The sequence below is a fragment of the Homo sapiens genome, chromosome 4 (assembly GCF_000001405.40).
Source record: "Homo sapiens chromosome 4, GRCh38.p14 Primary Assembly".
NCBI classification, from domain to species: Eukaryota; Metazoa; Chordata; class Mammalia; order Primates; family Hominidae; genus Homo; species Homo sapiens.
The window spans coordinates 151,390,273-151,415,460 of NC_000004.12; the positions used below are offsets into that span (position 1 = coordinate 151,390,273).

At 43.1% G+C, this 25,188-nt stretch overlaps 1 protein-coding gene and 1 long non-coding RNA gene across 15 annotated transcripts in view, besides 7 other annotated features; one reads left to right on the forward strand and one right to left on the reverse strand.

Moving 5' to 3' along the window:
- Nucleotides 1,083-1,586: an enhancer, noted in NCBI's record as "OCT4-NANOG-H3K27ac-H3K4me1 hESC enhancer chr4:152312507-152313010 (GRCh37/hg19 assembly coordinates)". NCBI's record gives its function as "activates a minimal SCP1, AML or CMV promoter by ChIP-STARR-seq in naive H9 embryonic stem cells {active_cell/tissue: H9 hESC(naive)}" and the evidence as "EXISTENCE:reporter gene assay evidence [ECO:0000049][PMID:30033119]".
- Nucleotides 10,804-18,620, reverse strand: FHIP1A-DT (FHIP1A divergent transcript). 8 transcript variants are annotated; one of them, NR_183959.1, is made up of 4 exons: nucleotides 18,363-18,620; nucleotides 17,217-17,435; nucleotides 15,251-15,336; nucleotides 11,172-12,077 (listed from the first exon to the last, which is right to left on the reverse strand). It is a non-coding gene; the product is annotated as an FHIP1A divergent transcript (long non-coding RNA). The 8 variants fall into 8 exon arrangements; NR_183962.1 differs by lacking the exon at nucleotides 11,172-12,077 and adding an exon at nucleotides 10,804-11,147 and having other exon boundaries at nucleotides 17,217-18,620; NR_183963.1 differs by lacking the exon at nucleotides 11,172-12,077 and adding an exon at nucleotides 10,804-11,147 and having other exon boundaries at nucleotides 16,911-18,620.
- Nucleotides 17,334-17,643: an enhancer, noted in NCBI's record as "active region_22021". NCBI's record gives its function as "activates an Ori minimal core promoter by ATAC-STARR-seq in GM12878 lymphoblastoid cells {active_cell/tissue: GM12878}" and the evidence as "EXISTENCE:reporter gene assay evidence [ECO:0000049][PMID:35858748]".
- Nucleotides 17,334-18,874: a biological region, named in NCBI's record as "H3K27ac-H3K4me1 hESC enhancers GRCh37_chr4:152328899-152329598 and GRCh37_chr4:152329599-152330298".
- Nucleotides 17,475-18,174: an enhancer, noted in NCBI's record as "H3K27ac-H3K4me1 hESC enhancer chr4:152328899-152329598 (GRCh37/hg19 assembly coordinates)". NCBI's record gives its function as "activates a minimal SCP1, AML or CMV promoter by ChIP-STARR-seq in naive H9 embryonic stem cells {active_cell/tissue: H9 hESC(naive)}" and the evidence as "EXISTENCE:reporter gene assay evidence [ECO:0000049][PMID:30033119]".
- Nucleotides 18,101-18,573: a silencer, noted in NCBI's record as "fragment chr4:152329525-152329997 (GRCh37/hg19 assembly coordinates)". NCBI's record gives its function as "represses an EF-1alpha promoter that drives an FKBP-Casp9 reporter gene in an ReSE screen in HepG2 liver carcinoma cells {active_cell/tissue: HepG2}" and the evidence as "EXISTENCE:reporter gene assay evidence [ECO:0000049][PMID:32094911]".
- Nucleotides 18,175-18,874: an enhancer, noted in NCBI's record as "H3K27ac-H3K4me1 hESC enhancer chr4:152329599-152330298 (GRCh37/hg19 assembly coordinates)". NCBI's record gives its function as "activates a minimal SCP1, AML or CMV promoter by ChIP-STARR-seq in primed H9 embryonic stem cells {active_cell/tissue: H9 hESC(primed)}" and the evidence as "EXISTENCE:reporter gene assay evidence [ECO:0000049][PMID:30033119]".
- Nucleotides 18,694-18,863: a silencer, noted in NCBI's record as "silent region_15748". NCBI's record gives its function as "represses an Ori minimal core promoter by ATAC-STARR-seq in GM12878 lymphoblastoid cells {active_cell/tissue: GM12878}" and the evidence as "EXISTENCE:reporter gene assay evidence [ECO:0000049][PMID:35858748]".
- FHIP1A (FHF complex subunit HOOK interacting protein 1A) overlaps nucleotides 18,904-25,188 on the forward strand; it is a 261,328-nt gene continuing 255,043 nt past the window's right edge. For all 7 annotated transcript variants that reach the window (XM_024454201.2, XM_047416127.1, XM_011532221.3 and 4 more), the window contains exon 1: nucleotides 18,904-19,193. The gene's annotated coding sequence lies outside the window, so the exon portion shown is untranslated. The remainder of the gene's footprint in view (nucleotides 19,194-25,188) is intronic.

Below are 25,188 nucleotides of genomic sequence, written 5' to 3' on the forward strand. Positions count from 1 at the left end.
GATTCTCCTGCCTCAGCCTGCCGAGTGCCTGCGATTGCAGGCGTGCGCCGCCACGCCTGACTGGTTTTCGTTTTTTTTTTGGTGGAGACGGGGTTTTGCTGTGTTGGCCGGGCTGGTCTCCAGCTCCTAACCGCGAGTGATCCGCCAGCCTCGGCCTCCTGAGGTGCCGGGATTGCAGACGGAGTCTGGTTCACTCAGTGCTCAATGGTGCCCAGGCTGGAGTGCAGTGGCGTGATCTCGGCTTGCTACAACCTCCACCTCCCAGCCGCCTGCCTTGGCCCCCCAAAGTGCCGAGATTGCAGCCTCTGCCCAGCCGCCACCCCGTCTGGGAAGTGAGGAGCCTCTCTGCCTGGCCTCCCATCGTCTGGGATATGAGGAGCCTCTCTGCCTGGCTGCCCAGTCTGGAAAGTGAGGAGTGTCTCTGCCCGGCTGCCATCCCATCTAGGAAGCAAGGAGCGCCTCTTCCCCACCGCCATCCCATCTAGGAAGTGAGGAGCGTCTCTGCCCGGCCGCCCATCGTCTGAGATGTGGGGAGCACCTCTGCCCCGCCGCCCTGTCTGGGATGTGAGGAGCGCCTCTGCTGGGCCGCAACCCTGTCTGGGAGGTGAGGAGCGTCTCTGCCCGGCCGCCCCGTCTGAGAAGTGAGGAAACCCTCTGCCTGGCAACCGCCCCGTCTGAGAAGTGAGGAGCCCCTCCGTCCGGCAGCCACCCCGTCTGGGAAGTGAGGAGCGTCTCCGCCCGGCAGCCACCCCGACCGGGAGGGAGGTGGGGGGCGGTCAGCCCCCCGCCCGGCCAGCCGCCCTGTCCGGGAGGTGAGGGGCTCCTCTGCCCGGCCGCCCCTACTGGGAAGTGAGGAGCCCCTCTGCCCGGCCAGTCGCCCCGTCCAGGAGGGAGGTGGGGGGGTCAGCCCCCCGCCCGGCCAGCCGCCCAGTCCGGGAGGTGAGGGGCGCTTCTGCCCGGCCGCCCCTACTGGGAAGTGAGGAGCCCCTCTGCCCGGCCACGACCCCGTCTGGGAGGTGTGCCCAGCGGCTCACTGGGGATGGGCCATGATGACAATGGCGGTTTTGTGGAATAGAAAGGCGGGAAGAGTGGGGAAAAAATTGAGAAATCGGATGGTTGCCGGGTCTGTGTGGATAGAAGTAGACATGGGAGACTTTTCATTTTGTTCTGTACTAAGAAAAATTCTTCTGCCTTGGGATCCTGTTGATCTGTGACCTTATCCCCAACCCTGTGCTCTCTGAAACATGTGCTGTGTCCACTCAGGGTTAAATGGATTAGGGGCGGTGCAAGATGTGCTTTGTTAAACAGATGCTTGAAGGCAGCATGCTCGTTAAGAGTCATCACCACTCCCTAATCTTAAGTACCCAGGGACACAAACACTGCGGAAGGCCGCAGGGTCCTCTGCCTAGGAAAACCAGAGACCTTTGTTCACTTGTTTATCTACTGACCTTCCCTCCACTATTGTCCTATGACCCTGCCAAATCCCCCTCTGCGAGAAACACCCAAGAATGATCAATAAAAAAATAAATAAATAAATAAATAAATAAATAAATAAATAAAAGAACTGTAACACTAAAAAAAAAAAAAAAAGAAACAAAGTTGTTCCTGAGCAAAAAAGGAACAAAGTTGGAGGTATCACACTACGAAACTTCAAAATACACTAAAAAGCTATAGAAACAAAAACAGCATGGTACTGGCATAAAAACAGACACATAGACCAATGGAACAGAATAGAGAACTCAGAAATAAATCCGTGCATTTATAGCCAACTCATTTTTGAGAAAGATGCCAAAAATACACATTGAGGAAAGGATACTCTCTTCAGTAATGGTGCTTGGAAAACTGAACATCTCTATGCACAAGAATGAACTAGACCCCTATCTTTCACCATATACAAAAATCAAATAAAGATGGATTAAAGACTTAAATGTAAGGTCTGAAACTATGAAACCACTAGAAGAAAACATTGGAGAAATCCTTCAGGATATTGGTCTGCACAAAGATTGCTTGGGTAAGACATCAAAACTATAGGCAACAAAAGCAAAAATAGACAAATAAGTTTATATCAAGTTAAAATGCTTCTGCACAACAAAGGAAATAATCAACAGAGTGAAGAGACAATCTGCAGAATAAGAGAAAATATTTATAAACTATTCATCTGACAGGGGATTAATAACCAGAATATATAAGGAGCTCAAACAACTCAATAACAAATAGTAATAATAATCTCATTTAAAAATAAGCAAATTATCTGAATAGATATTTTTACAAAAGAGGACATAAAATGGCCAACAGTTATATTAAAAAATGCTCAACATCACTAATGATCAGGGAAATGCAAATCAAAACCACAGTGAGATATTATCTCACCACAATTAAAATATTATCAAAAAGACACAATGAAAAAAGAAAACTACATGCCAATATCCCTAATGAACACAGACACTAAATTGTTCAACAAAATCCAATAAACCAAATCCAGCAGCATATGAAAAAGTTAATTTACTATGATCAAGTAGGCTTCATTGCTGGGATGCAAGGTGGGTTCAACATATGCAAATCAATAAGTGTGATTCACCACATGAAACAGAATTAAAAACAAAATCCATGTGATCATCTCAATAGGTGTGGGAAAAAGCCTATGATAAAATCCAACATCCCTTCATGAAAAAAACTCTCAACAAACTAGGAATCAAAGAAACATACCTCAAAATAATATGACAAACCCACAGCCAACATCATACTGAATGGGCAAAAGCTGGAAGCATTCCCCTTAAGACCTGGAACAAGACAAGGATGCCCATTTTCACCACTCCTATTCACCATAGTACTGGAAGTCCTAGCCAGAGCAACCAGGTTAAAGAAAAAAAGAAAAAACATTCAAATACAACAAGAAGAAATCAAACTATTTGTCTTCAGTGATGATATGATTCTGTACCTAGAAAACCCTAAAGACTCCACCAAAAGGCTGCTGGAACTGATAAAAAAAAAGGATGACTTCAGCAAAGTTTCGGTACACAAAATCAATCTACAAAACCAGTAGCATTTCCATACACCAATAATGTTCAAGCTGAGAGCCAAATCAAGAATAGAATCCCATTTACATTAGCCACACAAAAAATAAAATATCTAGGAATACAACGAACCAAGGAGATAAAAGATCTCTATAAGGAGAACTACAAAACACTGTCAAAAGAAATAATAGATGACACAAGCAAATGGAAAAAACATGTCATGCTCATGGATTGGAAGAATCAATATCATTAAAATGGCCATGCTGCCCAAAGCAGTCTACAGATTCAACATGATTCCTACCAAATTACGAATGTCCTTTTTCACAGAACTAGGAAAAACTATTCTACAATTCATATGGAACCAAAAAAGAGCCTGAATAGCAAATCAATCCTAAGCAAAAAGAACCAAGCTTGAGGCATCACATTACCTGACTTCAAACTATACTATAAGGCTATAGTAACCTAAACAGCATGGTACTACTGGTAGTAAAACAGACACATAGGCCAATAGAATGGAACAGAGAACCCAGAAATCAAGCTGCACACCTACAGCCTTCTGGTCTTCGACAATGTTGACAAAAGTAAGCAATAGGGGCCAGGTGTGGTTGCTCTCACCTGTAATCTCAGTACTTTGGGAGACTGAGGCAGAAGGATGGCTTGACATCAGGAATTCAAGACCAGCCTGGGCAATGGCAATGTAGCGAGTGAGACCTTTCCTCTAAAAAAAAAAAACCCAGGTGTAGTGTCACTTGCCTAGGGTCCCAGCTACTTGAGAGGTTGAGGTTGATAGATTGCTTGAGCCCAGGAGGCTGAGGTTGCAGTGTGCTGTGATCATGCCACTGCACTCTGGCCTGGGTGACAGAGTGAGATCCTGTCTCAAAAGAAAAAAAAAAATGGAGAAAAGGTTCTCTATTCAATAAACGGTGCTGGGTTAGGTGGTAGCCATGTGCAGAAGAATGAAACTGGACCCCTAACTTTCACAATATACAAAAATTAACTCAAATTGGATTACAGATTTAAATGTAAGAATGTCAAGCTATAAGAATTCTAGAAGAAAACCAAGGAAACTCCATTCTGGATAGCAACCTTGGGAAAGAATTTATGACTAAGTCCCCAAAAGCAATTGCAACAAAAGCAAAAATTGACAAGTGAGAACTAGTTAAGCTAAAAAGCTTCTGTTCAGCAAAATAAATTGTCAGTACACTAAACAACCTCCAGAATGAGAGAAAATATTCACAAACATACATCTGACAAAGATCTAATATCTAGAATCTATAAGGAACTTAAATAATTCAACAAGCAAGAAACAACCCCATTAAAAAGTGGGCAAAAGACATGAACAGACACTTCTCAAAAGAAGACATAAAAGTGGCCAATAAACATGAAAAAATGCTCAAAGCAACTAATCATAAGATAAATGCAAATCAAACCCACAATGAGATACCATCTCACACCAGTCATAATGGCAATTATTAAAAAGTCAAAAAACGACAGATGTTGGCAAGGCTGCAGAGAAAAGGGAATGCTTATACACTGTTGGTGGGAATGTAAATTAGTTCAGCTACTGTGGAAAGCAGTTTGGAGAGTCATCAAAGAACTTAAAACAGAACTACCATTTGATCCAGCAATCCCATTATTGGGTACATATCCAAAAGAAAATAAACCATTTTTCCAAAAAGACACATGCAATCATATGTTCATTGCAGCACTATTCACAATACCAAGACATGGAATCAACCATGGTGCCTATCAGTGGTGGACTGGATAAAGGAAATGTGGCACATATACACCATGGAATACTATGCAGCCATAAAAAGAATAAAATTATGTCCTTTGTGGCAACATGGATGGAGCTGGAGGCCACATCCTAAGCAAATTAATGCAGGAACAGAAAACCAAACACAGCATGTTCTCACTTGTAAGTCAGAGCAAAACACTGGGTACTCATGGACATAAAGATGGCAACAATAGACACTGGGGACTTCTAGAGGAAGGAGGCAGAAGGGTTCAAACACTAACTATTGGTTACCATGCTCACTACCTGAGTGATGGGATCATTCAGATCCCAAATCTCAACATCACACAATATACCCAAGTAACAAACCTGCACATGTGCTCCCTGAATCTAAATCTAATCTAATCCTGAATAAAAATGGAAATTATATTTATTGAAAAACCAAATCCTTCTGGGCGTGGTGGCTCATGCCTGTAATCCCAGGACTTTAGGAGGCCGAGGCAGGCGGATCCCTTGAGGTCAGAGTTCAAGAACAGCCTGGCCAATAAGGTGAAACCCCGTTTCTAGTAAAATTACAAAAATAAGCTGGGTGTGGTGGCACATGCCTGTAATTCCAGCTACTCAGGAGGCTGAGGCACAAGAATGGCTTGAGCCCAGGAGGCAGAGGTTGCAGTGGGCCGAGATTGTGCCACTGTACTCCAGCCTGGGTGACAGAGTGAGACTGTCTCAAAAAAAAAAAAAAATGCTCATGAGGTTACAGAGAAAGGGGAACACTAGTACATTGTTGGTGGGAATGTAAGCTAGTATGGCCACTATGAAAAACAGTATGGAGGTGCCTCAAAAAACTAAAAATAGGCCTACCATATGACCCAGCAATCCTACTGTTGCATATATATTCCAAAGAAAGAAAATCAATATATCAAAGAGATATCTGCACTACATGGTTATTGCAGCACTATTCACAATAGCCAAGATATAGAAGCAACCTAAGCATCCATCAATAGTTGAATGAATAAGGAAAATGTGGTTTATATACACAATAGAATATGACTCAGCAATAAAAAAGAATAAATTATGTGATTTGCTTCAAGAAGGATAGAACTAGAGGACATACATTAAGTGAAATAAGCCAGGCACAGAAAGAAATTCTGCATGTTCTCACTTATATGTGGGAGCTAACAATGTTGATCCCATGAAGATAGAGAGTAGAATGACCATTACCAGAGGCTATGAGGGAAATGGGTTATGGGGGATGAAGAGAGATTAGTTAATGGGTACAAAAATATAGTTAGATATAAGGAATAAGTTCTAGTGTTCAATATCATAGTAGGGTGACTATAGCTAACAGTAACTTATATATTTCAAAATAGCTAGAAGATTTGAAATGTTCTCAACACAAAGAAATGATAAATATTTGAGGTGATGGATATCCTAATTACTCTGATTTGATCATTACGCATTGTATACATGTATCAAAACATCACATGTATCCCACAAATATGTACAATTATTATGTAACACTAAAAAATAAAATTGAAAAAAACCCACTGATGGTGGAAGTGAGGTATGAATAGAGAATCTAGAGAGTGGTAAGAGTTGCTAAACTTTAGACATTGACAAGGAAAAATAAGTGTAAATATGGTCCTTGGTAAGTTAGCGCCAGATGTGGTGGCTCACACCTGTAATCCCAGCACTGCACTTCGGGAGGCTGAGTCGAGAGGTTCACTTGAGCCCAGGAGTTTGAGACCAGCCTGGGCTGCTGCTCTATCTCTACAAAAAACTTCAAAAAATTTAGCTGGCTGTGGTGGCACATGTCTGTAGTCCCAGCTACTCAGGAGGCTGAGGTGGGAGGATTGCTTGAGCCTGGGAGTTTGAGGCTGCAGTGAGCCATGATTGTGCCACTGCACTCCAGCCTGGGTGACAGAGTGACCTTGTCTAAAAAAAACAAAAAACAAAAAAACTTAGGGATTACTACCTGAAGAATAAAAACAAAATACATAAATTTTAAACAAGCAGAAGAAAATGTGATCTATCAAAATGCAGGCAAAAAAGAAAGTATGGCAAAAATAAAACTTGAAAAAGATGGCAAATAGAGTGCCAATATACCAGAAATTAGAATATATATGAGTAGATTAAACTTCTAAATCATAACCTGAGAATCTCAGAATGTATTTTAAAAAATTAAATGTAGCAATATGTCATTTACAGAGGATAGACATAAAATAAACAGTTCAAGAGAGGTAAAAAATAAGCATAGAAAATGCAAACCAGCAAAATATGAACCAGAAGAGAACTGGGGTAATAATTTTAATATACAGTTTGAATTTAAGGCAAAAAAAAAAGTTACAAGGGATGTGATAGTTAATTTTATGTTTCAACTTGGAGGGTGTTTTGGATGAGATGAACATTTAAATCAGTAAACTTTGGGTGGGGCAGATTGCCCTCCATAATGTGGGTGAACCTCATCTAATCAGTTGCAGGCCTGGATAGAACAAAAAGACCAGTCTTTCCAAGCGAGAGGAAATTCTCTGCCTGCTGGACTTTATCTGATCCCCTAGCTATAGACTTCTGGCCTATACAGTAGATTTGGACTTGACGGTCTCCATAATTGCATGAGCCAATTCCTTATAATACATCTCTTTCTATGTATATGCACATCCAATTGGTTCTGTTTTCATGGAGAGCAGTAATACAAGGAATAAAGTGGGTTACTGCATATTGGTAAAAAAAAATAGATCAAGAAAATATATTATAAACATATGTGCCACTAATGATGGAAGAAATATGCACTAAACAACATTGTATTAGTCCAGTTGTGTTGCTATAAAGAAATACCTGAGGCTGGGTAATTTATAAAGAGAAGAGGTTTAACTAGCTTGTGGTTCTTTAGGTTGTACATAAAGCATAGTGCTAGCATTTGCTTTTGGTGAGGGCCTCAGGAAGCTTACAATCATGGCAGAAGGTGAAGGGGAACCAGTGTGTTGCACGGTGAGAGAAGGAGCAAGTAAGAGAGGGAGGAAGTGCCAGGCTCTTTTAAACAATCAGATCTCATGTGAACTTACAGAGTGAGAACTCATTCATTACTGCGAGGACAGAACCAAACCATTAATGAGGGATTCACCCCCATAACCCAAACACCTCCCACCAGGTTCTACCTCCAACATCGGGGATTACATTTCAACATGAGATGTGGAAGGGACAAACATCCAAATTATATCAAATATACATTCAAAGTACAGGGAGCAGGACCAGTAGACTACTGGAGAAAATTTTTTTAAATCAACAATAATACATGGTAATATCTAACACGACACCTTTAAAATTTTTTGATAAGGCAGATACAAAATAAGACACAAAATGTACAAGATTAATACATTTCATCTTCTATTGTTCTATATGTTGAACTTTGCATGCCTGAAAAGCTAATTTTTTTTTTTTTTAAAGAGACAGTATCTTGCTCTGTGACCCAGGCTGGGGTGCAGTGGCACAGTCACAGTGTGCAGCCTCAATTTCCTGGGCTCAAGCAATCCTCCCACCTCAGCCTCCTAAGTAGCTAGGACTACAGGTTACGCCACCATGCCCAGAAAATTTTTGTTTTTTTTTTTGGTAGAAATGGGGTTTGCCATGTTGTCTAGGCTGGTCTTAAACTCCTGGGCTCAAGTGATTCAACCACCTTGGCCTCCCAAAGTGCCAAGATTACAGGTGTAATCTCACTGTGCTCACACCTGTAATCAATAATTATAAATGCATAATCAATTAATATAAATGCATAACATAAATCCATAATATAAACTCATAATCAATTAATATAAATGTTCCATGGGTGCTTTAAAAATATCAATTTTTAAAAAATATCTATTTTTAAAGCACCCATGGAACATTTATATTAATTGATTATGGACTAGGTTACAGAAGAGCCTCTATAAACTCCAAATAATTAGCATCACAACAGAGTATGTTGTCTGACAACAAAACACTAGAATAGTTGGCCGGGCGCGGTGGCTCACGCCTGTAATCCCAGCACTTTGGGAGGCCGAGGCGGGCGGATCACGAGGTCAGGAGATCGAGACCATCCTGGCTAACACGGTGAAACCCCGTCTCTACTAAAAATACAAAAAAATTAGCTGGGCAAGGTGGCGGGCGCCTGTAGTCCCAGCTACTCGGGAGGCTGAGGCAGGAGAATGGCGTGAACCCTGGGGGGCGGAGCCTGCAGTGAGCCGAGATAGCGCCACTGCACTCCAGCCTGGGCGACAGAGCAAGACTCCATCTCAAAAAAACAAAAACAAAAACAAAAACACTAGAATAGTTAATAATAAAAAGGTAGATTTAAACAGCTCTGTCAATAAAAAATTCCTAAACCACCCAGGATTAAACTGAAATCCAAAGGGAAATTATAATATTCAAATTCTTTGCATATTTATCTGTGGCAATGCTTTGAAGCCTGGATTTAAAATGCATTCCTCAACAGGATTTGTGTTTGTTGTGCCGGCTGGGCACCTAGAGGTACAACCAATCCAGGACCCATCTGATCTAAACTTTTGGAGTATTTTTGGACCACATAGATAATATTAATTTTGGCTCCAAATTAGGTGTGGAGTTAGTGATTTTCAGGGGAAACTTTTTTTTAAAATCATTCCACCCAGGGCCAAGGCTCAAAAAGGCACATATCTTCACTGTCTTCCTCTGTGGATTCCACTGCCACCCCCCTTCTCCTAGTGTCTTCCTCTAAAGGTTTGTCTCCTGTCCCTTCATTTATATCCCATTGTAACCCAGGTTGTAGGCCACCAGGGATCAGTGGATAATTTCCAGACAAGTGCCGGCTCTGGCGCTCTTTTATTCTACTTTCCTTTAAAAAAAATGGACAGATATTTCATATGCTGTAAAAGTCATCTTTTTAAAAGTATGCATTGAGTGGTTTTAGTATATTTACATGTAGAACCATCATTACTATCTAATTCCAGAGCATTTTCATGACACCAGAAAGAAACCCTGTATCCATTATCAGTCATGCCCCATTCCCCTCTTTAACTCTAACTGCCCAAGTCTCTTTCTGCCTGTATGGATTTGTCTATTTTGATTCTGGACATTTCATATAAATGGAACCATACAATAATATCTTTCATACCTGGCTTCTTTTATGTAACATAATATTTTCAAGCTTCATCCATATTGCAGTGTATATCCTATTGATATTTCATTCCTTTTTTTTGAGATGGAGTCTCGCTCTGTCACCCAGGATGGAGTACAGTGGCACAATCTTGGCTCACTGCAACCTTTGCTTCCCAGGTTCAAGCAATTCACCTGCCTCAGCCTCCCAAGTAGCTGGGATTACAGGGACCTGCCACCATACCTGGCTAATTTTTTTTGTATTTTTAGTAGAGACGGCATTTTACCATGTTGGCCAGGCTAGTTTTGAACTCCTGACCTCAAGTGATCCACCCGCTTCAGCCTCCCAAAATGCTAGATTATAGGTGTGAGCCATGGCGCCTGGCCACTTCATTACTTTTTATGGCCAAATAATATTCCATTATATGGGTATACCACATTTTGTTTAACCATTCATCAGTTGTTGGACATCTGGATTATTTTCACCCTTTAGATATTGTGGCTAATGATGCTATGAATATTTATGTACAAGTTTTTGTGTGGACATATGTTTTGTCTTGCATATATGCCTATGAGTGCAATTGCTGGGTCATATAGTAACTCTATGTTTAATTATTTCAGGAACTATCAGACTATTTTCCAAAGTAGCTACACCATTTTAATTTCCCCTTCTTACTGTTTTTTTAATACTTAAGTAATTCTACTTTCCTGTCATGCATTTTAAAAGATTTAAAAAAAAACCCTTCTCTCTGTCACCAAACAACCATCAATTACATGGGTCTATTTGGCTTGTGGAAATAAGCTGAGCTGTACACTTATAAGTAGTAATGGATAACTAATTCATGGAGTATTTACCCAATGAAATACTATATACAGCAAATAATAAACTACCCATAAGCACATCAACATCAACAATATGGATGAATCTTACAAATAAGAACCAGAGAGACAGATACAAAAGAGTATCTATTCTATTATTCTAGTTATATAAAGTACAAAAATAGACAAGACAAATCTATGCAGTTAGAAGTCAGGATTAACTTTGAGGGGAAATAGTGGTTGGAAGGGGACACAAGGAAGCTTCCAGATTCTGTTTCCTGATCTGGGTGCTGATTACATGGGTTTATTCAGGTTGTCGAAATAAACTGAACTATATACTTATAATACGTGCACTTGTCTTTATGTGTATTAAAAGTTTCAAAAAGAAGAAAAATGTATTCAACTTTGGGTATGCAGTATCCAGAGTTTTCCCTGCATCTTATTGCCTGATGATTCCTACAATACAAGTTGCCCTGGAAAAACAGAAAAAATAGGCAAAGTGTTCAACATAATTTATAAGGCCAATATAATGTTGATACCTAGTCACATAAAGAAAAAAACTCCTATTTTACTTATGAACATAGATGCAAAATAATGCTAAGTAAAATGTTAGGTAACAGAGTCTAATACCCTACTAAAAATATATTACAATCAAATAGGGTTAATATAAATAACGTAAATTTGGTTCAATAAAGGAAGATCTACAATAAAAATCATCACATCAAGGGACATAAACAGGAAAAATAATCACATGATCATCTCAGACACAGAAAAATCATTTTATAAAGTTCAATACCAGTTAATGATTTAAAAATCTCTTAGAAATTTCACAAGAAAATAAAGGAAGGTTTTCAACCTAACAGAGGACATCAACTAAAAATCTACAGCAAACATTCTATTTAACAGAAACTTCAGTGTGGTGCTCTCCTGTAATCCCAGCTACCCTGGAAGCTGAGGTGGGAGGATTGCTTGAGGCCAGTTAGAGGCTGTAGTGAGCTATGACCGCACCTAAGAATAGCCACTACACTCTAGCCACTACGCAGCCAGAACCCATCCCTAAAAAAAAAATTTAAAAACAAAACCAAAAACTTCAGATGCATATTATTTGGAATGTGTTTGCTATACTTAAAAGAAACTGAAATAAAAGTAGTATAAACACATAAGGATTGTTTTTTATCTCAGCAGGAAGTTCAGAGGTCGGCAATACAGCTATGGTACACGACTCCACAAAGCTCAGTGTTCTGGAGGCCCCTTTTGGCTTTCTGCACCATCATCTCATACATTTAACTTTTGCTTTCATCATCTTAAAATGGCTTCTGCTTCTCCAGGTAACCAATGTCCAAGCAGGAAGAAGTGGATGGAAAGAAGGGCAAAGATTCATGGAACCAAGCCAGCTGGGCTTTCTGAAAGTACATGCAAGGACATCCTCTTACATTCCATTGGCTTGGACTGTGTCATATAACTACCTGTAGTTGCAAAGGTGGTTGCATTTTGCTGCTATAAAAAAGCGGGGAGGGCGTTCTGGTAGAAAGATAAAAATAGAGACTTGAAATTGAATAGGCAACTAGTAGTGTCTACCTTGTATTCCCTTTAGGTTTGATAACAACACAATGATCCCCACTGATATGGTTTGGCTCTGTGTCCCCATCCAAATCTCTTCTCAAATTGTAATCCCCATGTATCAAGGGAGGGACCTGGTGGGAGGTGACTGGATCACGGGGGCGGTTTCACCCATGCTGTTTTCCTGGTAGTGAGTGAGTTCTCACATTATCTGATGCTCACACTCTCATTCTCCTGCTGCCTCGTGAAGAAGGTGCTTGCTTCCCCTTCGCCTTCTACCATGATTGTAAGTTTTCTGAGGCTTCCTCAGCCATGTGGAACTGTAAGTCAATTAAACCCCTTTCCTTTATACATCACTCAGTCTCAGGTAGTATCTTTATAGCAGTGTGAGAACGGACTAATACACCCACTATGACCACTACCTTGCAAAACAGTACTTGATGTCTTGGCCATTGAAAACAGACAAAAATAAATGTAACATACAGCTCTGTCAAGAGTTCTGCTACAAACTGCAGAAAACATATGCAGCTGATTTAAAAGAAAATAACTTATTATAATATTAAGTAGCTTATTGAATCTATAAAGTTGTCCACAGAGGTTATGTAAACTTGACAGCTATATAACTAGGAACAACACCCAAATCATATTATAGATCTACTCCAATGGACATGCCATTATTACCACTATTTGGCAAAAATGCTGCAGCATGTACTGCCAACTCCACCAGACTGAGCACTGGGTACTATTGTGGGAATCTCTGCCACTACCCTCTCTGCTAACATATTTTTATTAATTGTACTTGTTAGAAAAAAGAATTTCTTGGCCAGGCACAGTGGCTCATGCCTGTAATCCCAGCACTTTGGGAGGCCGAGGTGGGCGGATCACAAGGTCAGGAGATCGAGACCATCCTGGCTAACACGGTGAAACCCCATCTCTACTAAAAATACACAAAATTAGCTGGGTGTGGTGGTGGGAGCCTGTAGTCCCAGCTACTTGGGAGGCTGAGGCAGGAGAATGGCGTGAACCCAGGAGGTAGAGCTTGCAGTGAGCCGAGATCGTGCCACTGCACTCCAGCCTGGGTGACAGAGCGAGATTCCATCTCAAAAAAAAAAAAAGAAAAAAGAATTTCTTGACAGCATGATTACTATTATAACAGAATACACATTGTTCATTTTTGAGCTCTTTTTTTAAGAGAAGCAACTACAGAAGATAATTTAAATTTAGATTTAATCTGACTACAGATGATAATGTCTTCATGTACTTTTTACTTTCAATTCCAAGGTATCTGGGACAACTTCCCTATGTTGCATTTTAGCTTCTGCTTTTCTTAAACACAGATGATGCACTTTGTCCACTTCCTCATAGGAGTGTTAAGATCTATAGTCCTATGAGCTCTGTGAAAGAAGAATTTGTGTATGTATGTGTGTGTGTGTGAATGATGAAATACTTCTCTCCTTTGTTCATGTAATCTTGAATATCTAGTATTTAACACGTTTAATAATTTGAAAAAAATGTAATTTCAAATATAATTACATTTTAAAATGGAAATAAAGGTGGTAAGAAAAAGAGGGAGAAGTCTTGACTGGCTTCTACAATAAAGAAATATAATTTCAGTGCTTTAAAGTACTATAATAACAGAGCTGAAGAGTATAAAAAATGAATAAAGAGGGGCCAGGCATGGTGGCTCATGCCTGTAATCCCAGCGCTTTGGGAGGCCGAGGCAGGCCGATCACAAGGTCAGGAGTTTAAGACCAGCCTGGTCAACATGGTGAAGCCCCATCTCTACTAAAAATACAACAATTAGCTGGGCATGATGGTGGGCGCCTGCAATCCCAGCTACTCGGGATTGCAATTTCAAGGCAGGAGAATCACTTGAAACTGGAAGGCGGAGGTTGCAGTGAGCCGAGATTGCACCACTGCACTCTAGCCTGGACCAAAGAGTGAAACTCCGTCTCAAACAAAACAAAACAAAACAAAAAGAATAAAATGAAATACATTAATAAAAAACATGATTTAGAAACGGCTACTGTTACTAATATATGCATTTACAGCCAATATACTTATTTTTAACTTTTGCTTAATTAACTTCTAAAGCAGTAGGTTCAAATTAATTGCTGTTTAACTGGATGATGCTGTTAAAAAACGCACTGCTCCATATTGGAATTCTTATATGTTGTCAGTGGGAGCATAAATTGGTATAATCACTTTGGAAAATTGTTTGGCAGTATCAACTAAATCTCATTGTATATACAGCCTATCATCCAGCAATTCCACTCCTGAGAGAAAGTGATACCTTCCTATGGCAGAAAACTTGGAAGTAGAGAAAAGCACAGAGAATAAAAATAAACTGTCATCCTAGTACTGAGATAATCATTATTATTATTATGATTTTTTTGAGATGGAGTTTCACTCTTGTTGCCTAGGCTGAAGTGCAATGGTGCAATCTTGGCTCACTGCAACCTCCGCCTCCCAGGTTCAAGTGATTCTCTTGCTTCAGACTCACGAGTGGCTGGGATTACAGGCGCCTGCCAACACGCCCAGCTAATTGTTGTATTTTTAGTAGAGACGGGGTTTCACCTTGTTGGTCAGGCTGGTCTCGAACTCCTGACCTCAGGTGATCCACCTGCCTCGGCCTCCCAAAGTTCTGGGATTACAGGCATAAGCTACCATGCCTGGCTGAGATAATCATTATTAATATTTGTAAAGAGAATCTTACTTTACACACTTACTTTTATAGTAGACTTACTTTATACAATATTATAAATATATTTCCATGTAATAGATATTTTCCAACTTTTTTTTTTTTTAAGAAGAGACAGGGTCTCACTCTGTTGCCCAGGTGGGCGTGCAGTGGCACTCAAAGCTCACTGCAACCTCGACCTCCTGGGCTCAATTGATCCTTCTGCCTCAGCCTCCTAAGCAGTTGGGACTATAGGCCCGTACCACCACATCTGCTTATCCTTTATTTTTATTTATCTATTTTAATTTATAAAGAAAAGAGTTTTAATTGGCTTACAGTTCTGCAAGCTGTACAAGCATGGCTCCAGCATCTGCTTCTGGGTGAGGGCCTCGGGAAGCTTCCACATGAGCTACCATGCCTGTCTTCATGGTGGAAGACAAAGAGAGAGCAGACAGTGTCATATGGCAAGAATGGGAGAAGGAGACAGCCCCTTTACCTTTAGCAAGACTTATTTCCTCAAAAGAATGAGTCTGTTTCACTCCCAGAGGGCATAATGGATATGAATGAAATTCATATTTGTAGAGAGGGAACTAACATTCTTAAGTGTCTATCATGTATTAGGCATTGTGTTATACACTTCACTATGCTAATTTGTCATCCTAAAACAACCTTAACAAAGTAGGTATTACTTTCATTTTATAAGTTGAAGAAACTGAAGACCATTCAAATTATGCGCCTCTCCTTTCCTGCCTTGATTTTACCCTAACCTCCTTTTGAAGTCTTCTCCAACTTTGTTATAGCAGTTCCGTCCTTACGCTGCCCACATTCAAATTATGCGCCTCTCCTTCCTGCCTTGATTTTACCCTAACCTCCTTTTGAAGTCTTCTCCAACTTTGTTATAGCAGTTCCATCCTTATGCTGCCCAGGCCAAAAGCCTCAGAGTCCTTCTCATCTCCTTCCTTTATACCCCACATCCAATGTGAGGAAACCATCAGCTTATCATCTCTACCACTATTTCTCTGGTCCACATCTCTATCTTCTTGTCCCTCAATTATTATTATTATCTTTTTGTGAGATGGAGTCTCGCTCTGTCGCCCAGGCTGGAGTGCAGTGGTGCAATCTCGGCTCACTGCAACCTCTACTCACTGCAACCTCCGCCTCCTGAGTTCAAGTGATTCTCCTGCCTTAGCCTCCTGAGTAGCTGGGACTACAGGTGCGTGCCACCACACCTGGCTAATTTTTTGTATTTTTAGTAGAGGCGGGGTTTCACCATGTTGGCCAGGATGGTCTTGATCTCCTGACCTTGTGACCCACCCACCTTGGCCTCCCAAAGTGCTGGAATTACAGGCATGAGCCACCGCACCCGGCTGACCCTAGATTATTTTAGTAGCCTCTTAACCAGTCTCTGTGCTTCTACCCTTACACCCTACTGTTTATTCTTAACCCAGCAGTCAAAGTGATCCAATTACAATGTCAGAAAGTGTCACTTTTCTACACAAAATCCTCCAATGGCTCCAACCAACTCACTCAGAGTAAAAGCCTTACCTGATCTGCATCACCCCCACCTTTCACTTCTTTGACTTCATCTTCTCCATTCTTTCATGGTGCCTTCTGGATTGCTCCTAGTACACTTAGGCATACTCCTGCCTCAGGGCCTTTACATTTGCTATGCTTTCTGCCTGGGAAGTTGTCTGCTCAGATATCCCTAACCTCCCTCAAGTCGTTCCTCAAATGTTACCTCCTCCAGAAGCTTTCCTTGATCATCACCCCTCTCCGAACATAGCACCCCTCATACTTTCTATGTACCCTCTCTGCTTAATTTTTATCCACAGCATTTCTTTCTTTCTTTCAAAACAGGGTCTCACTCTGTCACCCAGGCTGGAATGCAGTGGGCTCAAGTGATCCTCCCACCTCAGCCTCCTGGATAGCTAGGACTACAGGTGCACGCCACCATGCCTGGCTAATTTTTAAACTTTTTGTAGATAGGGGGTCTTACTATGTTGCCCAGGTTGGGTCTCCAACTTCTGGCCTCAAGTGATCCTCCTCCTTTGGCCTCCCAAACTGCGGGATTACAGGCATGAGACAGCACTCCTAGCCTCTCCATAGCATTTCTAATCATACAGCAGTCCATATATTGTCCTTATACATTTACCATCTGTCTTTCCCACGTGGAAGAGGTAAGCTCCACGAGGGCTGGAATTGTTGTTTGTGCTCTCTGCTGTGTCCTCAACCCCTAGAAGCGTGCCTAGCATGCAAAAGGCACTCAGTATATATTTGTTGAGTAAATGAATGCTTCCCCCACCTTCCAACTGTTAGAGCAGGCCAAGGGGACCTGTTGTGCAGAACTTCACAGCTTTCTACTCTGAGCTCTATCTTCCTTGTTCTTCCCCAGCTTTTACTTAGGAGCCACTTCTTGACTGAGCTTGTCACAGGTGAAAGGCTGATGAATCTGGAGAGATACTTGTGGCAAGTACCCGGTGTTCCTGCAGTCATCCACAAGCGCAGCAGTGGTGGTAGACAGCTAGAGAAGAAAGTGTAAAGTTTGCATCCTCCAATTATCACGGTTGCAAGACAGAACTTGAAACTAGATACACCTGATTTTGGTTATCTCTGGATGCCATTCACCGAGAATGAAGGGAAGAAGATACTTCCTCCAAAGGAGAATCTGATGAGGCGCCAGCAGGCTGCTGCTGCGGTGGAAACTGCCACATCCGCTTTTGCAAACTGGTGTGGCCCCAGCTGCTTGGACTGAGGCTCAACGCAGGTTTCAGCCACTTCAACCACAGGGCTACGAACATGCCAAGAGAGCCACTAACCAAGTTTCTCATTCCTCCTCTGAGATTTAAAGTCCATCACTTCGCGACTCAAACACGCAAGAGGCGTGGGAGACGGAGGAATGGGGAAGCGAGGCGGCGCTGCCCACCTTGGCAATGGCACAGCCGCGGTCTCTGATGCAAAGGCAGGCGGCCGCGCAGGGCCGGGCCTGGGTGGGAAGGCTGGGCTCTGGGAAGGATGTCGGGGCACCCGGCAGTGCCCAAAGCCACCATCTCAAGCGTGATAGTGGGAAAATGGATGCTGCACCTGCTCTCTCATCTTGCGGGGAATCGTGATTTGGGGAAGTTTCACCTTTGTTGCAGAACTGCCCACATTAGAGCCTTCATTTCTTGGGAAGGGGTTGGCGGGAGTTGCCAGTGAAATGTGTGACACACACACGCGCCACATACTCCCCAAACCCACAGACGACTCCAGTAACGCTCTAGTTACCCTTAAAAAGTAAAACAGAACAAATCAGCAGGCCCCCTCCCTCCATCCTGGCACTTCATTAATGTCGGCCAAGGCCACATTTCCCCTGCCCACTGCAGGGAGTCTGTCAGGAGAACAACAGGCGAACGTTTGCCTCACTTGACTCAGCTCTCTTGGGGCGGTATCAGCATTTTAAAATTCACACCTAAAGGAAGGAGTCAGCAAAGGAAAGCAGAGCTGGGCCGGGGCGCCGGTGGCCGCCGTCAAACCTTTGGGAAGCAAGAAATCCGAAACGCCCGTGACGTGCGGCGTTGTCCGACTCCTTCCACTAGGCAGAACCCGAGAGACGAGCCTTTGGCGGGACGGTGAACGATTGTGCTGTGTACGGCGGTGTGCGTGCGTGAGTAAAGAGTGTGTAGCTCCGGCCAAACGCTAGCCCCCAAGGGCGCGAGTGCTACACTGCGCCCAGCTCAAGTTTCTGTGGAAACTTTCCCTCAGAGGCTCCTCCTCCTTCACCTTGGAAACCGGCGCGGGCCGTGCGGCGCGGCACTGCCTAAGTCCCCGGCGCACCTGGCGGCGGCGTGTCCCAGCGGCAGAGGCGGGGCCGGCGGCGGCGGGGGCGGGGCCGGGGCGCGCTCCCCGAGGCCTCCAGGCAGGTTGGGCCCCACCCCCGCCCCTGCCCCGCCCCGGCCCCCGCCCCCGCCCCCGCCCCCCCCGCGCTCACTAGGGAGAGGCTGGGGGGAGGCAGTGACCCACGCGCCTCAGCCCGCGGCTGACGCACCTTCGAAAAGTTGCGCTCCGACCTTCTCACGACCTACATTCTTCCCGGGCACTCCTGAGTTTGAGCCGGGCCTGGAGGACCTGGGCCAAGACTTTCGAGCGGCGGCCGCCCGAGGTGCGAGGAGCCAGCCCGGCTTTCCTCACTGGGTCCCGCGCAGGCGTCCCCGGGACCGCAGAGCAAACTTTCTGGACTATCTGAGGACACTTGTCCAGCGAGCCCCACTGCTCGGGGAGGAGGAGCCACGGCCGGGGACAGGTAGGTGCTGTGCTGGCCGGAGATTTGCGCTTGAGGGATTCTTTTATTTTAGAGGGTTGAAGGAGGAGGGAGAGTCGAAATGTCCCTTCTCTGCATCCGCCAACTGGGCAGGGGGTGCGGGCATTGGGCTGAGGGAGCAGGCATTGGGCTGGGGGCCGGCTGGGGATGTTCCAAACGAGGTCGCTGCGTCGGGCGGGGGCGCAGGGGGGAGGAGGTGACTTCTAGGGTTTCGGGCTCCGGGACGGGGCGTAACGCGGTGACTGACCCTGGGAGAGAGAGAGCCAGCTTGTTTTGACGAAGGAATATGTCATTAGGGCCCTCCATCCCATTCCTTGGTCCCAGGGTCCTCTGGGAGGCACAGGAAAAGGCAAAGAGATGTGGAGTTCAGGTTTCCCCTGTAAATCAACTTGCTTACACAGGAGACAGAGGCGGTGCCCCTCTGAGGTTTGCAGCCCTTTCCTGGTGTAAGGACTTACTGGTTAGGTAGCTGTTGCTCAATTTCGTAAATTCTGTGATGAAACTGCGTTCAAGTCGTGGTTATTATTGATAGTGTGTATGTGTTTGTGTTTCCTCTGGCTCAACAAAGGTCCCTTGTTAACTCCGCTTCTGCTAGGGAGTGGGAAGAACTACCTTGGTGTCTTATTTCAGGCCTGGTCAGAGCGAGGTGTTGGTGCAGGCGGCGGTAGCCTTGTTGGCTTGGGACTTTGGGAATCACATGAGCAGGTCTAGTGAATTAGTGTCCCAGCCTCCTGGACCCACCCATTCACAGCAGATCTAGCTTCCACTATTCAGCAGATGCTGCAGCCCCAGCTATCCAGGGACAGGGAAACCCCCCTGAAGGGAAAGAGCCAAATGTTGAGAAGGAGAGACAGCTTTCAGGAGGAGGAGTAAACAATGCCTAACAATTGTTGCTTCCCTATAGATTGGGCTTGCTCCCTTGGCTTCTCTGGAAGGGCTGTGCTATCAAATTCATCTCATTAGGAAGTCAGCTGCTCCCTGCTAATAGTCATAGCAGCCCTGATGAAATTATATAGGTCATTGAAAAATAATTCCTGCTTAATTACCTTTATCCTGTTGATTAATGAGAGGGAAGATTTCCTCTCCTTAATGTATTATGCCTGCTTGTCAGGGTCACCTGCCTGACCTCAAGTTCACTTGTACACCTGGCACTAGGCAGGATGCTGTCCCCGAAGCTGTCCACATGTAGTGAACCACAGCTGAAGTCCACGTTTGGAGAACTTCAAAGGTCTTCTTTGGACCGAAATTGAGCAGGATATTTAGTCCATAAATTTACTCTTTAATACAGTATACTTGTTGGCTTTAGGTAACTTTTCGCATAATTAAAGGTTGATATCTTTTTAGTTCCAGTTAATCCCTTTCCGCAGAGCTCATAAGAATTATGTCCATGCCTGTCTTGAAATAAATTAAGTTTGGGGTCCTATTTATCATTTGTCCTGTAGGACAAGGAACAGGATTAAACTGTGTAGGGTGGCTGGAAAGGGGCAGAGAAACTGGACATCACTGAAGTGGATTCAGAGAGTGATTGAGAGTGGTCTAAAAATTTAGGTCCAACTGCCCAGCTACCTTTTTTCTTGGCTCTCATATAAAGACATTGTGTAGGACTTTTAATGGAGGACTTGAAGACTAGAAATAAAAGGAGTGTTTTATTTTTACATAGTCAGAGTGATGCATTGCTGGACAGTTCTGTACTCTGCCTCCCAAGATTGGTTCAAAATACTTTCTCTGCTAAGTTCTTTCTTTAATAGGAACTTGATAGATAATGACTGCAAACAAGAAGCAGATGTACAAATATATTATGTAGAGATATGGAGGTAAAATGAGAAAAAACAAGAATTGCCTCTGAGGAGTGAAATTATATATATATTTTTTTTTTTTTAAAGTTAGGGTCTCTCTCTCTCTCTGGCCCAGGCTAGAGTTCAGTGGCATGATCTCGGCTCACTGCAGCCTTGATCTCCTGGGCTCAGGCAGTCCTCCCACCTTAGCCTCCTGAGTAGCTGGGACCACAGGTTCATGCCATCACACTCTGTTAATTTTTTGTATTTTCATACAGACAGGGTTTTGCCACGTTGCCCAGGCTGCCCTTGAGCTCCTGGACTCAAGCAATCCGCCTGCCTTGGTCTCCCAAAATTCTGGGATTACAGGTGTGAGCCACCATGCCTGGCCTCTTGTATTACTTTCATAAAGAAAATTTAATAAGGAACCTCCTTTCTCCATGCAAATATAAAGCAAAATTGCTTTATTTAATCTGTTTAGACACTTGATCTTTATTCTGTGTACATCTGTCTTCTAGGGTGATACGTAGGCCCAGTGAAGATCTGGATCAGATTCTGCCATTGAAACACAATTTAGATCTACTTCATCCTTATTTTTAGCAACTTCCAACCCTTGGTTCTTAGCCCAGGTAGGGGAACAGTGCTCAAGAGTGACAAGAAACTCCAGGAACTTCATTTATAGGGATCTCTTAATGAAAACAATAACAGAAGTGAACAGTTCTGTAGTGCTTTATGTTTCACAGAGTGCTTTCATGTACCATGTTTGTGCCTTGTGATTTAACCATTTTGTAGTAGATGCCATTGTGTTTAGATTACACAGGAGGAAAGCAGATGAGGTTCAGAGATAATAAGGGACTTTTTTGAGACGGAGTTTCACTCTTGTTGCCCAGGCTGGAGTGCAATGGTGTGATCTCGGCTCACTGCAACCTCTGCCTCCCAGTTCCAGCGATTCTCCTACCTCAGCCTCCTGAGTAGCTGGGATTACAGGTGCCCACCACCATGCTCAGCTAATTTTTTTTGTATTTTTAGTAGAGATGGGGTTTCGCCATGTTGGCCAGGGTGGTCTCAAACTCCTGACCTCAGGTGACCCACCCACCTCGGCCTCCCAAAGTGCTGGGATTACAGGCGTGAGCCACTGTGTTCGGCCAATAATAAGGGACTTTTATGGGCATACTCTTTGCTCCTGTATATTGTGGACTGAGACCTGAATTCAGGATTTCTGATTTACAGCCCATGCTTTCACTTTTTTCCTTGTTACATTTTGTGAAGTGGTTGGATGTGAAATGGGCTTTTCTTTTTCTTTCTTTCTTTCTTTCTTTCCTTTCTTTCCTTCCTTCCTTCCTTCCTTCCTTCCTCCCTCCCTCCCTCCCTCCCTCCCTCCCTCCCTGCCTCCCTTCTTTCTTTCTTTCTCTCTCTCTCTCTTTCTTTCTTTTTTTTTTTTTTTTGATGGAGTTTTGCTCTTGTTGCCTAGGCTGGAGTGCAATGGCGTGATCTCAGCTCACCGCAACCTCTGCCTCCCGGGTTCAAGGGATTCTCCTGCCTCAGCCTCCCGAGTAGCTAGGATTACAGGCAAGCACCACCACGCCTGGCTAATTTTGTATTTTAAGTAGAGATGGGGTTCCTCCATGTTGGTCAGGCTGGTCTCGAACTCCTGACCTCAGGTGATCCACTTGCCTTGGCCTCCCAAAGTGCTGGGATTATAGACGTGAGCCACCGTGCCTGGCCCTCTTATTTCTTATTAACCAAAATATGAGCTCATGTGGAGACAGGATGACAGGACTATATATGAATATGTACATATATGTGTATGTGTAAGTGTGTGTACACATGTAACATATAGTCTGTATAGCCTTGGCATCTCAACAGTATAGCTGTGCAATAAAATTGAAGTAACCTCCATTAAATTTGGGAGGGAGATCTTGGGAAGTGGCGTAGGTGAATAAATACCTTGATAGATTGAATAAGGAATTTTGGCAATGTCTAAAATTGAAAAACTCTGTAAATAGCAGTATAAGTGCATGATTTACAAATATAGAAGTAATTACCAGAAGAAATAGCTAAAAGAGTTGAAGGACCTTCTTTCGGAGAATGAAACTCAGGGGTGAGGAGGAGCCAGACAGGAATCTGCTGTTTTTGGCTATGTACCTTATAATATTAGATAATATTTTATACTGTGTACGTATGTATTACTTTATTTTACTTTATTTATTTTTTGAGGCAGAGTCTCGCTCTGTTGCCCAGGCTGGAGTGCGGTGGCACAATCTTAGCTCACTGCAACCTTCGCCTCTTGGGTTCAAGCCATTCTCCTGCCTCAACCTCCCGAGTAGCTGGGACTATAGGCATGCACCAACATGCTTGGCTAATTTTTGTATTTTTAGTGGAGATAGGGTTTCACCATGTTGGCCAGGCTGGTCTCGAATTCCTGGCCTCAAGTGATCCGCCTGCCTCAGTCTCCCAAAGTGCTGGGATTACAGACATGAGCCACCGCGCCTGGCCTCATATGTATTACTTAAAAAAAAAAGCCCTTTGGCAAGGATGGAGCAAAGGTCTTTTGTCAGAATTTTAGAGCCAAAATTATGTATTCCCAGTTCTTCCATTTTACAGGTGAGGAAATTGAGGTGTAGGAGTTTAAATGTTATGCTCTTGGTCACATAACTGTAGAGACAAACCTCTCCCAGACAAGGTCAACTGTAGAGACAAACCTTTCCCAGGCAGGTAGAAAGTTTTACCTTGCTAGTGATTCTTCAGTTTCCTTTCTAGGCAGTTCTTTTGCCTTCTATCTAGTTAGTGTTTGTTTGTTTTTTTTTTTTGAGACGGAGTCTCACTCTGTCGCCCAGGCTGGAGTGCAGTGGTGCAATCTCGGCTCACTGCAACCTCCGCCTTCCAGGTCCAAGTGATTCTCTTGCCTTAGCCTCCCGAGTAGCTGGGACTACAGGCATGCGCCACCATGCCCGGCTAAGTTTTGTATTTTTTTAGTAGAGATGGGGTTTCACCATGTTGGCCAGGCTGGTCTCAAACTCCTGACCTTGGGTGATCTGCCCGCCTCGGCCTCCCAAAGGGCTGGGATTACAGGCTTGAGCCACCGCGTCTGGCCTCTATCTAGTTTTTACAATCTTTGAACAGGTTACTGGACTATAGATTCAAAAGTATTTTTATCTAATTCCTTAAATTTCCATTTTGAAAATGCTTCAAATGGTTTTTCGAGTCTGCAGAATCTGTACCCTTTTGTTGTTAATTCTGTAATTACTTTTACTTAGAAGTAGAGATGTGCGGTTTGTCTGCAATGTTTAGAAGCTGGCATTCTTGCCCAGTTGAATTTGATAAATACTGGAATTTGGACTAAACTTTTATTCTCAGAAGGCATTACTAAGGGGAGATGCTAAGGGGACTTTTCCAGTATCTATGTGTTTTGCTTAATTTTGAAGTTCTGAGAGTGAGGATACTACTGCCTTCTAAAAGACAGGTAGAGACAAATGATATTTTAGAGCTATTATAAAAAGTTAACACCCTTAAGTTTATCCTTTTCTTTATAAATATGATTTTCTCCTACTTCCTTTCCAATTATATCACTAACTTAAATGAGAGTTAATTTTCTTATTACATACATGATACATATTATTCAAATTCTAAACAATATAGAAATATATAATGTTAAAAGTTAAAGTACACTGCAATGTTATATTCTGGATAAACTGCTATAAATAGATATATTTCCCTTCATTTTTCCCTCTATTTAAAAATGTTTATTATTAACGTGGTTGTTAATAACTACTGGGGTAATCCTATGCAACTTTCAACTTGGTTTTTATTTTTAACTCAATAATATACCTTGAAAATGTTTTTATGACCATACATGCACATCATTCTCATTTTGTTTTTTTTACTGGCTGTATAGTAATGCATTGAATAGATATAGTTTTTTTGGTTTTTTTTTTTGTTTTTTTTTGAGATGGAGTCTTGCTCTGTCACCCAGGCTGGAGTGCAGTGGTGCAATGTCAGCTCACTGCAACCTCTCCCTCCCAGGTTCGAGCAATTCTCCTGCCTCAGCCTCCTGAGTAGCTAGGACTACAGGTGTGCATCACCATGTCTGGCTAATTCTTGTATTTTTAGGAGAGCCAGGGTTTGGCCAGGTTGGTCTCAAACTCCTGACCTCAGGTGATCCACCTGCCTTGACCTCCCAAAGTGCTGGGATTACAGGCGTG